Genomic DNA, 14,131 nt, shown 5'->3' on the forward strand with positions numbered 1-14,131 from the left:
TACATGTGCACATTGTGCAGGTTAGTTACATATGTATACATGTGCCATGCTGGTGCGCTGCACCCACTAACTCATCATCTAGCATTAGGTATATCTCCCAATGCTATCCCTCCCCCCTCCCCCCACCCCACAACAGTCCCCAGACTATGATATTCCCCTTCCTGTGTCCATGTGATTTCATTGTTCAGTTCCCACCTATGAGTGAGAATATGCGCTGTCTGGTTTTTTGTTATTGCGATAGTTTACTGAGAATGATGATTTCCAATTTCACCCATGTCCCTACAAAGGACATGAACTCATCATTTTTTATGGCTGCATAGTATTCCATGGTGTGTATGTGCCACATTTTCTTAATCCAGTCTATCATTGTTGGACATTTGGGTTAGTTCCAAGTCTTTGCTATTGTGAATAGTGCCGCAATAAACATACGTGTGCATGTGTCTTTATAGCAGCATGATTTATAGTCCTTTGGGTATATACCCAGTAATGGGATGGCTGGGTCAAATGGTATTTCCAGTTCTAGATCCCTGAGGAATCACCACACTGACTTCCACAATGGTTGAACTAGTTTACAGTCCCACCAACAGTGTAAAAGTGTTCCTATTTCTCCACATCCTCTCCAGCACCTGTTGTTTCCTGACTTTTTAATGATTGCCATTCTAACTGGTGTGAGATGGTATCTCATTGTGGTTTTGATTTGCATTTCTCTGATGGCCAGTGATGATGAGCATTTTTTCATGTGTTTTTTGGCTGCATAAATGTCTTCTTTTGAGAAGTGTCTGTTCATGTCCTTCGCCCACTTTTTGATGGGGTTGTTTGTTTTTTTCTTGTAAATTTGCTTGAGTTCATTGTAGATTCTGGATATTAGCCCTTTGTCAGATGAGTAGGTTGCGAAAATTTTCTCCCATTCTGTAGGTTGCCTGTTCACTCTGATGGTAGTTTCTTTTGCTATGCAGAAGCTCTTTAGTTTAATTAGATCCCATTTGTCAATTTTGGCTTTTGTTGCCATTGCTTTTGGTGTTTTAGACATGAAGTCCTTGCCCATGCCTATGTCCTGAATGGTAATGCCTAGGTTTTCTTCTAGGGTTTTTATGGTTTTAGGTCTAACGTTTAAGTCTTTAATCCATCTTGAATTGATTTTTGTATAAGGTGTAAGGAAGGGATCCAGTTTCAGCTTTCTACATATGGCTAGCCAGTTTTCCCAGCACCATTTATTAAATAGGGAATCCTTTCCCCATTGCTTGTTTTTCTCAGGTTTGTCAAAGATCAGATAGTTGTAGTTATGTGGCGTTACTTCTGAGGGCTCTGTTCTGTTCCATTGATCTATATATCTGTTTTGGTACCAGTACCATGCTGTTTTGGTTACTGTAGCCTTGTAGTATAGTTTGAAGTCAGGTAGTGTGATGCCTCCAGCTTTGTTCTTTTGGCTTAGGATTGGCTTGGTAATGCGGGCTCTTTTTTGGTTCCATATGAACTTTAAAGTAGTTTTTTCCAATTCTGTGAAGAAAGGCATTGGTAGCTTGATGGGGATGGCGTTGAATCTGTAAATTACCTTGGGCAGTATGGCCATTTTCACGATATTGATTCTTCCTACTCATGAGCATGGAATGTTCTTCCATTTGTTTGTATCCTCTTTTATTTCCTTGAGCAGTGGTTTGTAGTTCTCCTTGAAGAGGTCCTTCACATCCCTTATAAGTTGGATTCCTAGGTATTTTATTCTCTTTGAAGCAATTGTGAATGGGAGTTCACTCATGATTTGGCTCTCTGTTTGTCTGTTGTTGGTGTATAAGAATGCTTGTGATTTTTGTACATTGATTTTGTATCCTGAGACTTTGCTGAAGTTGCTTATCAGCTTAAGGAGATTTTGGGCTGAGACAATGGGGTTTTCTAGATATACAATCATGTCGTCTGCAAACAGGGACAATTTGACTTCCTCTTTTCCTAATTGAATACCCTTTATTTCCTTCTGCTGCCTAATTGCCCTGGCCAGAACTTCCAACACTATGTTGAATAGGAGTGGTGAGAGAGGGCATCCCTGTCTTGTGCCAGTTTTCAAAGGGAATGCTTCCAGTTTTTGCCCATTCAGTATGATATTGGCTGTGGGTTTGTCATAGATAGCTCTTATTATTTTGAAATACGTCCCATCAATACCTAATTTATTGAGAGTTTTTAGCATGAAGGGTTGTTGAATTTTGTCAAAGGCTTTTTCTGCATCTATTGAGATAATCATGTGGTTTTTGTCTTTGGCTCTGTTTATATGCTGGATTACATTTATTGATTTGCATATATTGAACCAGCCTTGCATCCCAGGGATGAAGCCCACTTGATCATGGTGGATAAGCTTTTTGATGTGCTGCTGGATTCGTTTTGCCCGTATTTTATTGAGGATTTTTGCATCAATGTTCATCAAGGATATTGGTCTAAAATTCTCTTTTTTTGTTGTGTCTCTGCCTGGCTTTGGTATCAGGATGACGCTGGCCTCATAAGATGAGTTAGGGAGGATTCCCTCTTTTTCTGTTGATTGGAATAGTTTCAGAAGGAATGGTACCAGTTCCTCTTTGTACCTCTGGTAGAATTCGGCTGTGAATCCATCTGGTCCTGGACTCTTTTTGGTTGGTAAGATATTGATTATTGCCCCAATTTCAGATCCTGTTATTGGTCTATTCAGAGATTCAACTTCTTCCTGGTTTAGTCTTGGGAGAGTGTATGTGTTGAGGAATTTATCCATTTCTTCTAGATTTTCTAGTTTATTTGCGTAGAGGTGTTTGTAGTATTCTCTGATGGTAGTTCGTATTTCTGTGGGATTGGTGGTGATATCCCCTTTATCATTTTTTATTGTGTCTATTTGATTCTTCTCTCTTTTTTTCTTTATTAGTCTTGCTAGCGGTCTATCAATTTTGTTGATCCTTTCAAAAAACCAGCTCCTGGATTCATTAATTTTTTGAAGGGTTTTTTTGTGTCTCTATTTCCTTCAGTTCTGCTCTGATTTTAGTTATTTCTTGCCTTCTGCTAGCTTTTGAATGTGTTTGCTCTTGCTTTTCTAGTTCTTTTAATTGTGATGTTAGGGTGTCAATTTTGGATCTTTCCTGCTTTCTCTTGTGGGCATTTAGTGCTATAAATTTCCCTCTGCACACTGCTTTGAATGCGTCCCAGAGATTCTGGTATGTTGTGTCTTTGTTCTCGTTGGTTTCAAAGAACATCTTTATTTCTGCCTTCATTTTGTTATGTACCCAGTAGTCATTCAGGAGCAGGTTGTTCAGTTTCCATGTAGTTGAGCGGTTTTGAGTAAGATTCTTAATCCTGAGTTCTAATTTGATTGCACTGTGGTCTGAGAGATAGTTTGTTATAATCTCTGTTCTTTTACATTTGCTGAGGAGAGCTTTACTTCCAAGTATGTGGTCAATTTTGGAATAGGTGTGGTGTGGTGCTGAAAAAAATGTATATTCTGTTGATTTGGGGTGGAGAGTTCTGTAGATGTCTATTAGGTCCACTTGGTGCAGAGCTGAGTTCAATTCCTGGGTATCCTTGTTAACTTTCTGTCTCGTTGATCTGTCTAATGTTGACAGTGGGGTGTTTAAGTCTCCCATTATTAATGTGTGGGAGTCTAATTCTCTTTGTAGGTCACTCAGGACTTGCTTTATGAATCTGGGTGCTCCTATATTGGGTGCATATATATTTAGGATAGTTAGCTCTTCTTGTTGAATTGATCCCTTTACCATTATTTAATGGCCTTGTTTGTCTCTTTTGATCTTTGTTGGTTTAAAGTCTGTTTTATCAGAGACTAGGATTGCAACCCCTGCCTTTTTTTGTTTTCCATTTGCTTGGTAGATCTTCCTCCATCCTTTTATTTTGAGCCTATGTGTGTCTCTGCACATGAGATGGGTTTCCTGAATACAGCACACTGATGGGTCTTGACTCTTTATCCAATTTGCCAGTCTGTGTGTTTTAATTGGAGCATTTAGTCCGTTTACATTTAAAGTTAATATTGTTATGTGTGAATTTGATCCTGTCATTATGATGTTAGCTGGTTACTTTGCTCGTTAGTTGATGCAGTTTCTTCCTAGTCTCGATGGTCTTTACATTTTGGCATGATTTTGCAGCGGCTGGTACTGGTTGTTCCTTTCCATATTTAGTGCTTCCTTCAGGAGCTCTTTTAGGGCAGGCCTGGTGGTGACAAAATCTCTCAGCATTTGCTTGTCTGTAAAGTATTTTATTTCTCCTTTGCTTATGAAGCTTAGTTTGGCTGGATATGAAATTCTGGGTTGAAAATTCTTTCCTTTAAGAATGTTGAATATTGGCCCCCACTCTCTTCTGACTTGTAGAGTTTCTACTGAGAGATCAGCTGTTAGTCTGATGGGCTTCCCTTTGTGGGTAATGCAACCTTTCTCTCTAGCTGCCCTTAACATTTTTTCCTTCATTTCGACTTTGGTGAATCTGACAATTATGTGTCTTGGAGTTGCTCTTCTGGAGGAGTATCTTTGTGGCGTTCTCTGTATTTCCTGAATCTGAATGTTGGCCTGCCTTGCTAGATTGGGGAAGTTCTCCTGGATAATATCCTGCAGCATGTTTTCCAATTTGGTTCCATTCTCCCCATCACTTTCAGGTACACCAATCAGACGTAGATTTGGTCTTTTCACATAGTCCCATATTTCTTGGAGGCTTTGCTCATTTCTTTTTATTCTTTTTTCTCTAAACTTCCCTTCTCCCTTCATTTCATTCATTTCATCTTCCATTGCTGATACCCTTTCTTCCAGTTGATCGCATCGGCTCCTGAGGCTTCTGCATTCTTCACGTTGTTCTTGAGCCTTGGTTTTTGGCTCCATCAGCTCCTTTAAGCACTTCTCTGTATGGTTATTCTAGTTATACATTCTTCTAAATTTTTTTCAAAATTTTCAACTTCTTTGCCTTTGGTTTGAATTTCCTCCCGTAGCTCAGAGTAATTTGATCGTCTGAAGCCTTCTTCTCTCAGCTCGTCAAAGTCATTCTCCGTCCAGCTTTGTTCCTTTGCTGGTGAGGAACTGCGTTCCTTTGGAGGAGGAGAGGCGCTCTGCTTTTTAGAGTTTCCAGTTTTTCTGTTCTGTTTTTTCCCCATCTTTGTGGTTTTATCTACTTTTGGTCTTTGATGATGGTGATGTACAGATGGGTTTTTGGTGTGGAAGTCCTTTCTGTTTGTTAGTTTTCCTTCTAACAGACAGGACCCTCAGCTGCAGGTCTGTTGGAATACCCTGCCGTGTGAGGTGTCAGTGTGCCCCTGCTCGGGGGGTGCCTCCCAGTTAGACTGCTCGGGGGTCAGGGGTCAGGGACCCCCTTGAGGAGGCAGTCTGCCCATTCTCAGATCTCCAGCTGCATGCTGGGAGAACCACTGCTCTCTTCAAAGCTGTCAGACAGGGACATTTAAGTCTGCAGAAGTTACTGCTGTCTTTTTGTTTGTCTGTGCCCTGCCCCCAGAGATGGAGCCTACAGAGGCAGGCAGGCCTCCTTGAGCTGTGGTGGGCTCCACCCAGTTTGAGCTTCCCGGCTGCTTTGTTTACCTAAGCAAGCCTGGGCAATGGCGGGCTCCCCTCCCCCAGCCTCGCTGCCGCCTTGCAGTTTGATCTCAGACTGCTGTGCTAGCAATCAGCGAGACTCCATAGGCATAGGACCCTCCGAGCCAGGTGTGGGATATAATGTCGTGGTGCGCCGTTTTTTAAGCCTGTCGGAAAAGCGCAGTATTCGGGTGGGAGTGACCCGATTTTCCAGGTGCTGTCCGTCACCCCTTTCTTTGACTCGGAAAGGGAACTCCCTGACCCCTTGGGCTTCCCAAGTGATGCAATGCCTCGCCCTGCTTCGGCTAGCGTGCAGTGTGTGCACCCACTGACCTGTGCCCACTGTCTGGCACTCCCTAGTGAGATGAACCTGGTACCTCAGATGGAAATGCAGAAATCACCTGTCTTCTGCCTTGCTCACGCTGGTAGCTGTAGACCGGAGCTGTTCCTATTCGGCCATCTTGGCTCCTCCCCCCATTCAATTTCTTTAATAGATTCAGGCCTATTCAGATGGTCTATTTCTCCTTGTATGAGTTTTTATAGATCTTTTGAGGAATTAGCCCATTTTATCTAAATATTATCACGTTGTGGGCATAGAGTTGTTTAAAATAGTCTTTATTATCCTTTTATTGGCCATGGGGTCAGTAGTAATGTCTCCTCTTTCATTTCTGATACTAATAATTTATTTTTACATTGTTAGCCTGGCTAAGGGTTTATCAATTAGATTGCTCTATTTTTGGTTTTGTTGATTTTCTTATTTCTTCCCCTTTTTCAATTTTGTTAATTTCCACTCTAATTTTTATTAGCTCTTTTCTTCTGCTTGCTTTAAGGTTATATAACTCTTTCTCTAGTTATCTAATGTGTAGGCTTAGGTTACTGATTTTAGGTCTTTCTTCTTTTCTAATATGTAAATTCAGTATTACAAATTTCCCTCTAGACATTGTTCTTGCTGCATTCTGCACATTTTGATAAATTGTATTTTTATTTTCATTTATTTTTTAATTTTCTTGAAACTTCTTCTTTGACCCATGTGTTATTTAAAAGTGTGTTGTTTAATCTCCAAATATTTGAGATCCATCTCGATATTTTTATTGATTTCTATTTTAATTCAATTGTGGTCTAAGAGCATACTTTGTATGATTTCTATTCTTTAAATTATTACAGATGTTTTTATGGCCCAGAATGTGGTCTATCTTGGTGAATGTTCCCTGTGAGTTTGATAAGAATGTTTATTCTGCTGTGGTTGGGGAAGTGTTCTAAAAATGTCAATTAAATCCAGTTGACTGACAGTGCTGTTCAGTTCAACTATATTCTTACACTGATTTTCTGCTTGCTGGATCTGTGCATTACAGATAAAATCTCCAACTATAATTGTGGATTCATCTACTTTGCCTTATACTTCTGTAAGTTTTGCATAATGTATTCTGGTTCTCTGAATACACATTAATTATTATGTCTTTTTGGAGAATTGACACTTTTATTAATATATAACACTCTTCTTTATCCCTGATAAATTTCCTTGCCTTGATTCTGCTTTATCTGAAATCAACGTAGCTTCTTCAGCTTTCTTTTGACTGGTGTTAATATGGTACATCTTTCTCCATCCCTTTACTTTTAATCTGCATTTCTACACAAGCTGTGTATCCCTTATCCAAAATGCTTAGGACCAAAAGTTTTTCAGATTTCAGACTTTTTTGGACTTTGGAATATTTGTATTATATTTACAGGTTGAACATCCCTAATCTGAAAATCTCTCCAGTGAGCATTTCCTTTGATCATCATGTCAGTGCTCAAAAGATGTTGGATTTTGGCACACTTTTGATTTTGGATTTTCAAATTAGGGATGCTCAACCTGTGTCTAAAGTAGGATTATTGTTGGGTCTTGTTTTCAATCCACTCTGATAGCCTTTGTCTTTTAACTGGTATATTTAGGTCATTTAGATCTACTATGGTCTGCATGTTTATGTCCCCTCAAAATTCATGTTTTGAAATGCTACCCTCCAAGATGATAGTATTAGGAGGTGGGACTTTTGGAAGGTTGTTGAGTTATGAGGGTAGAGCCCTCATGAATGGTATTATTGCCTTTATAAAGAGGCCCAAGGCACTTTGTTCACAACTTTCACCACATGAGGACCCTGAAACAAGGTACCCTGAAACAAGGTACCATCTATAAACCAAAAAGTGTGCTCGCACCAGATATTGAATCTGTTGGTGACTTGATTGTGGACTTCCCAGACTCCAGAACAGTAAGAAATAAACTTCTGTTTTATGAAATACTCAGTTTATAGTATTTTGTTATAGCAGCCTGAAGGGACTGACATCTAAAGTGATTATTGATACAGTTGAATACCTGCCACATTTTAAATTGTTTTCTATTTGTTTCACTTTTGAAAAATCTTCCCTTTTTCTAACTTCTTTGATTTTAATTGAGCATTTTATATGATTCCATTTTCCCTCCTTTCTTAGAAATCGATTAAAAAATTTTTAGGCCTTGACCTAGAGTTTTCAATATATATTTACAAATAATCTAAGTTCACTATCAAATAATAGTATGTAGCTTCATGGGAAGTGCAAATACATTATAACAAAATCTTCCCAATGTCTTCTCATTCCTTATAACATTGGTGCATTTATTCTATTTATTCGGAAGCTATATATGTTGTTGATATTATTTTGAACAAACAATTATATATTACATAAGATATGAATAAGAAAGGTATTTTTTTAAAAAAACCTTCCTTTATACCTTCTTTAACACTCTTCCTTTGTTCATGTAAATGCAAGTTTCTCACCTATATCATTTTTCTTCTCCCTGAAGAAATTTTCACATTTCTTGCAAGGCAAATAAATCTATTGCTGACAAATTTCCTCAGTTTTTGTTTGTATGAAAAAGCCTTTATAATTTTTTCACTTTTGAAGGATATTTTCACTGGATATAGAAATCTCGGTTGGTGGTCTTTTTCTTTCAACACTTTAAATACTTCATTCCACTCTTCTCTTGCTTGCATGGTTTCTGAAGAGAGTTCCAATATAACTCTATCCTTGTTCCTCTGTAGGTAAGGTATTACCCCCCCGCCCCTGCCCTCTGGCTTTTTTCAAGATGTTTTGTTTTTGGTTTCCTACAGTTGGGATATCATATGCCTAAATTTTGGGTATTCGTTCCCTTGGTATTCTCTGAGCTTTCTCGATCTTTGGCTTGGTGTTTCTTATTAATTGTGGAAAATTATGATACGTTATTACTTCTAATATTTCTTTTGCATCTTTCATTCTTCTCCTAGTATTCCCATTATATGTATGTTGTACCTTTTGTCTTGTCCCACAGTTCTTGGATGTTCTGGCCTATTATCTTATGATAATCTTATATTATTTTGTGATTAAAATATCTCTCTCCTTTCTCTTCTCTTTGGTGGGCTATACTCCCTGGGTTGTGACTTTTAGAAGAAGTTCTTAGCCTTTTTCTCCCCTATGCTTATGTGAGACTGAAATTGAGGCTGGAGTTAGCTAATTGACCTTCCATCAGGTCAGATAAGGCTGTGGTAGTTTCCCTGAGAGCCAGCCTTTGTTATAGAGGACAGAATGAAGACCAGAATGCTCTGGGCATATTTCAAAATGGATACTTTTCCCTTGAGTACATTTCAAAATTATTATTTTTACCTGTCTTTGCTGGAAGCAAGAGGGAATTTTTCTCAGATGTTCACTGTGATAAACTGGTGGGTCTTTTGGAGGGAAAACTCATGAAAATGATTTTTCATTTCATTGTGATTTGTAACTGCAATGCTCTGATGGATCTAAGAAGATTTGTTGATTTTCAAATTTTCAGCCCTCTTGTTGTGAGGACAGGAATGATGACTTGCAAACTCTTTAAAACTCTTTACATGTCAGAGTGGAAATCATAAGTCTTCTCTGTGGATTTTAGATATAAATATAAAAGGTAAAATAGTAGAATTTCTACAATATTACATACAAATATATCTTCATGATTTGAGATAGACAAGTTTTTTGAAGGTAAAAAAATGCTAAAGAAAAAAATGAATAAATTGGACTTTATTAAAATAAAAAAAAAACTTTTTTTCATCAAAAGACATCAAGAAAAGCCAGGAATGGTGGCACACACCTGTAGTCCTAGCTACTCAGGAGGCTGAGGTGGGAGGATTGCTTGAGCCCAGGAATTTGAGTCTACAGTGTGCTACAATTGCACTTGTGAATAGCCACTGCACTCTAGCCTGGGCAACATAATGAGATCCCATCAAAAAAAGGCATCAAAATAGTGAAAATAAAACCACAGAGTAGGTAAAGATATTCACAATACAAATAAGAACTTAATATTCAGTATTTTAAAACATCTATGTCAAAGGGCTTGTATTCAGAATATGAGAACTACGACAACAACAACAAAACGAGGCGCAGTGGCTCACACCTGTAATCTCAGCACTTTGGGAGGTCGAGGCAGGCAGATCACCTGAAGTTCAGGAGTTTGAGACCAGCATGGCCAACAAGGTGAAACCCTTTCTCTACTAAAAATAAAAAAAATAGCTAGGCATGGTGGCGGGCACCTGTAATCCCAGCTACTTGGGAGGCTGAGGCAGGAGAATTGCTTGAACCCAGGAGGTGGAGGTTGCAGTGAGCTGAGATGGTGCCACTGCACTCCAGCCTGGGCAACAGAGCGAGACTCCATCTCGAAAGGAAAAAAAAAAAGAAAGAAAGAAAGAAAAAGAAAAAAGACAACCCAAGTTTTTAGCAGGCACTTCCAAAAGAGGACAGCTGTTTCAGTCAGCTTGGACTACTATAGCAGAATACCATAGACTAGTTGGTCAAACAACACACATTTACTTCTCACAGCTCTGTAGGCTGGAAGTCTGAGATTAGGATTCCAGCATGATTGTGTTCTTTTGATGGTCCTCTTTGATTTGCAGATGGCTGTCTCCTCATTGTATCCTCACATGACAGAGAGAGAAATAATCTCTCCCTCGTCTCTTCTTATAAAGGCACTAACCCCATTCATGATGGTTCCACTCTTCTGACCTAATTACTCCTAAAAGTTCTATCTCCTAATACCATCATATTGGGGGTTAGGATTTCACATATAAATTTTGGCAGGGGCACAAATATTTAGTGTACAACAATATCCAAATAGCCATTGAGCCTATGAAAACATTAGCCGTGAGGGAATCACAAATTCAAATCCTAACTCTACGCATCCATCAGAATGGCAAATTTAGAAATCAAAACAGTAAAAATCCATAGTGTTGACACGATGTTGACACCCACAGTGTTAAGCAATGGAAACTCTCACTTACTACTAATAGGAGATTATTTGTACAACCACTTTGGAACATTCTTTGGCAGTATCTGTTAACGCTAAAACATGTATTCTTTGACCCCCAAAATTCACTTCTAGGTTTACACCCAACAGAAACGCATCTATATGTGCACCAGAAGACACATTCGAGAATGTCCATAGCAGTATAATTTATAATAGTAGAAACATTCAGATTCTAATAAGAGTGGAAATGGATAAATAAATCTTGTTATATTTGTACATGGAATATTACATAATAAAAATAAACAAGCCAGACATGGTGCCTCACCTGTAATTCCAGTGCCTTGGGAGGCCAAGGTGGGAAGATTGTTCAAGCCCTGGAGTTTGAGAACAGCTTGGGCAACGTGTCGAGACTCCATCTCTCCAAAAAAATACAAAAATTAGCCAGTTGTGATGGTGTATGCCTGTGATCCCAGCTACTTGGGAAGCTGAGGTGGTATGGGTCACCTGAGCCTGGGAGGTCGAGCCTGCAAGTGAATTGAGTTGGTGCCACTGCACTCCAGCCTGGGTGACACAGTGGGACCCTGTCTCGAAAAAAAAAAAAACTACTGCTACAATATTAAGTGAGCGGAGACAGAATCTAAAGAAAACATGTTGTATGATTCTGTTTATGTAAAATTAAAACACAGGCACAAATAGTCAATGCCATTAGAATAGTGGTTACCTTCAAGGAGATAACGAGTGGGAGGGGACACCATGAGGGCTTCTGGTGAGTGATCTGGGTGGTAGTTACATGGAGTTTACTTTGTAAAAATTAATGAAGCTGTTAACTTATGTACATTATTACTTCAATATGAAACTTACTTTAAAAAACAGGTTATATAATAATACGTACCCTCCAAAATTATGCACACATTATCACAAACATGCTGAAAAGATACCAAAATGTTAATGGTGAATATCAATGAGTAGTGAGATTTTCATTTTTGTGATTTTGTTGTATTTTTCAAATTTACTTCAATGAACCAAATTACTGTTGTGATTAGAAAATATCATTAAATATTACTTACTATCACTCTAGGAACTGTGTGAAAGATGGGTTGGGGAGAGGTAAGACAGGAATGTCAGGAGGCGTTGGTAACAGCCACGTGAGAGGGGATGAGGGTCTGACTGGGGTTGTGTGGTTAGGGAGGTGGTGCATTATGTTGAAATCAGGAGCACAAGAGGAGTAGAGGCCTCTCTCTCTTTCCTCTTTCTCTCTCTGGGGGAGGGGCAAGGAGCTGGGGAAGTTCAGTTTTAAACATGTTAGGATTGGGTTCCCTTTGGGATATCCAAGTAGAGATGTCTGTAAATAATTTTAATTGTTATGTAAAATGTCTAATTTCAACATTACCATTTGATATGACCCAGTCTGAATACATTGAGTCACCAAATGAAGGAATTTTTTCTGTGACATCTTCCCTTCTTGGCCCCATGCATTCACAAATTAGTTCTTTATATCATATAAATGAGAAAACAGTGCCCTGATGAGTATTATATTCTCTGCTGGAGCTTTTTCTCCTTTAAGGTGAGTTTTCATGGCACAAATTACACCTCAGGAAAAAGGCACAACTTCTTGCAAGACAATGACTAAATTTTAGAAGATGAAGATTAAATGGCCAAAGAGCTATAATTACCTCATTATTAAAGATTCTAACATTCAAAAACCAAAGAATTCACTATTGAAACTCCAAGGTAGTTAAGTGACTGATAATTATTTTTCTTCCTTATCTGTATACCTAATGTAAATCAGGGAAAAGAAATTGAGATAGAAAAAAGTCTTAATAACAATTTTGAGGTTCCACAGTAAAAACTTTATCAAGAAAACCTAGTTAGATGATGATATACATACTACTATAGGTGTATAAGTAGCTGGTTGCTACCCCCATGCTCCAAGAGTTCACAAGTGGTTCTTTAATGCATACACTCTTTATTTTGTATTTATTAGAGTATATTTTATATATACATATATAATAGCTTATTTTATACACTCACGGTCCTTAAATTATAATCATTTGCAGCATAAGAGAGTCTTAGTTAGAAGGTTGTCCTTAGATGACACAAGAGTAAATGATACAGTAATAATGGAAGACCAAATTTCAACCGATCTGCGCAACTGAGTCTGCCAAATCTTGCTAAATTTGCTTGATTGAAAATTTCTTCCTCTCTTTCTCTGTGTCCTGTACAATTTCACAAAATAATCCTAAGATTTGGATGCCCATGTGCTGGCAGTATCTTTTAGTGGTTGGTTGTTAAGTTTGATCATATAACCAAATTGGTGAAAGGGATTTATATATATATGTATATATTTAATATTCATATTGAGAAAAGCACAAAGTCATTTCCATTTTCTTAACCTAATAAAATGTAGCTCTCCTTTGGGTTATTGTTCATTCAATAATATAGACTGGACTTTCACATTAGCAGAAATGTTACTGCATCCAATAGATTGTATCTTACTATTCTCTGTCCTTTCCAAAATCATGCTCTGCATGAAACTTTTGGTTTATGGGGGTTTCCCCTCATGACAGTACCAACTTGAATGTGTTCTGTAAAATGTCACATTGTCCAAAACTGGTTTTTCTAGCTTTTGTGAAGATTATATGGTCTGTGGGTTCTGCCTGGTAAGTTTTTGTACATCACCGTACGTCTCTGCTCATGGTGAGCATTGCAGACTGAGAACAGCTCTACCTTTGGTGGTTGTTTTATGTTTCCTCAGTGACTGATTTTTATTAGTTTCAAAAGATAACAATATATGCATGCACACACGCTGATGTTTCTGAAGGGCATTGTGATGAAAGATTAGAATGCTTTTTGCCTTCCTCCTGATCAAACAGTGGGTCTTAGGGAGTATGGGTACATTTACTTTGTCACCAAAAAGAATAAAATCTGTTGACATTGTTACTTGTCACTCATCTTCATTCATTCCTTTTTCTTTTTCAAATTATACTCTAAGTTCTGGGATACACGTGCAGAATGTGCAGGTTTGTTGCACCCATCCGCCCGTCATCTACATTAGGTATTTCTCCTAATAGTATCTCTCCCCTAGCCCCCAACCCCTTGACGGGCCCCAGTGTGTGATGTTTCCCCTCCCTGTGTCCATGTGTTCTCATTGTTCAGCTCCCACTTATGAGTGGGAACATGCAGTGTTTGGTTTTCTGTTTCTGTGTTAGTTTGCTGAGAATGATGGTTTCCAGCTTCATCCATGTCCCTGCAAAGGACATGAACTCATCCCTTTTTATGGCTGCATAGTATTCCATGGTGTATATGTGCCACATTTTCTTTATCCAGTCTATCATTGATGGGC

At 38.5% G+C, this 14,131-nt stretch overlaps 2 long non-coding RNA genes across 2 annotated transcripts in view; one reads left to right on the plus strand and one right to left on the minus strand.

Annotated features, from left to right (window-relative positions):
- The window catches only part of LINC00609 (long intergenic non-protein coding RNA 609), a 94,862-nt gene that overhangs the window by 72,264 nt on the left and 8,467 nt on the right, over positions 1–14,131 (plus strand). The window lies entirely within an intron of this gene.
- Positions 1–14,131, minus strand: part of PTCSC3 (papillary thyroid carcinoma susceptibility candidate 3) — a 41,833-nt gene that overhangs the window by 7,801 nt on the left and 19,901 nt on the right. The window contains exon 3 of the long non-coding RNA NR_049735.3: positions 11,114–11,204. This is a non-coding gene — a long non-coding RNA (papillary thyroid carcinoma susceptibility candidate 3). The remainder of the gene's footprint in view (positions 1–11,113; positions 11,205–14,131) is intronic.

Source organism: Homo sapiens, chromosome 14 (genome assembly GCF_000001405.40).
Source record: "Homo sapiens chromosome 14, GRCh38.p14 Primary Assembly".
NCBI classification, from domain to species: Eukaryota; Metazoa; Chordata; class Mammalia; order Primates; family Hominidae; genus Homo; species Homo sapiens.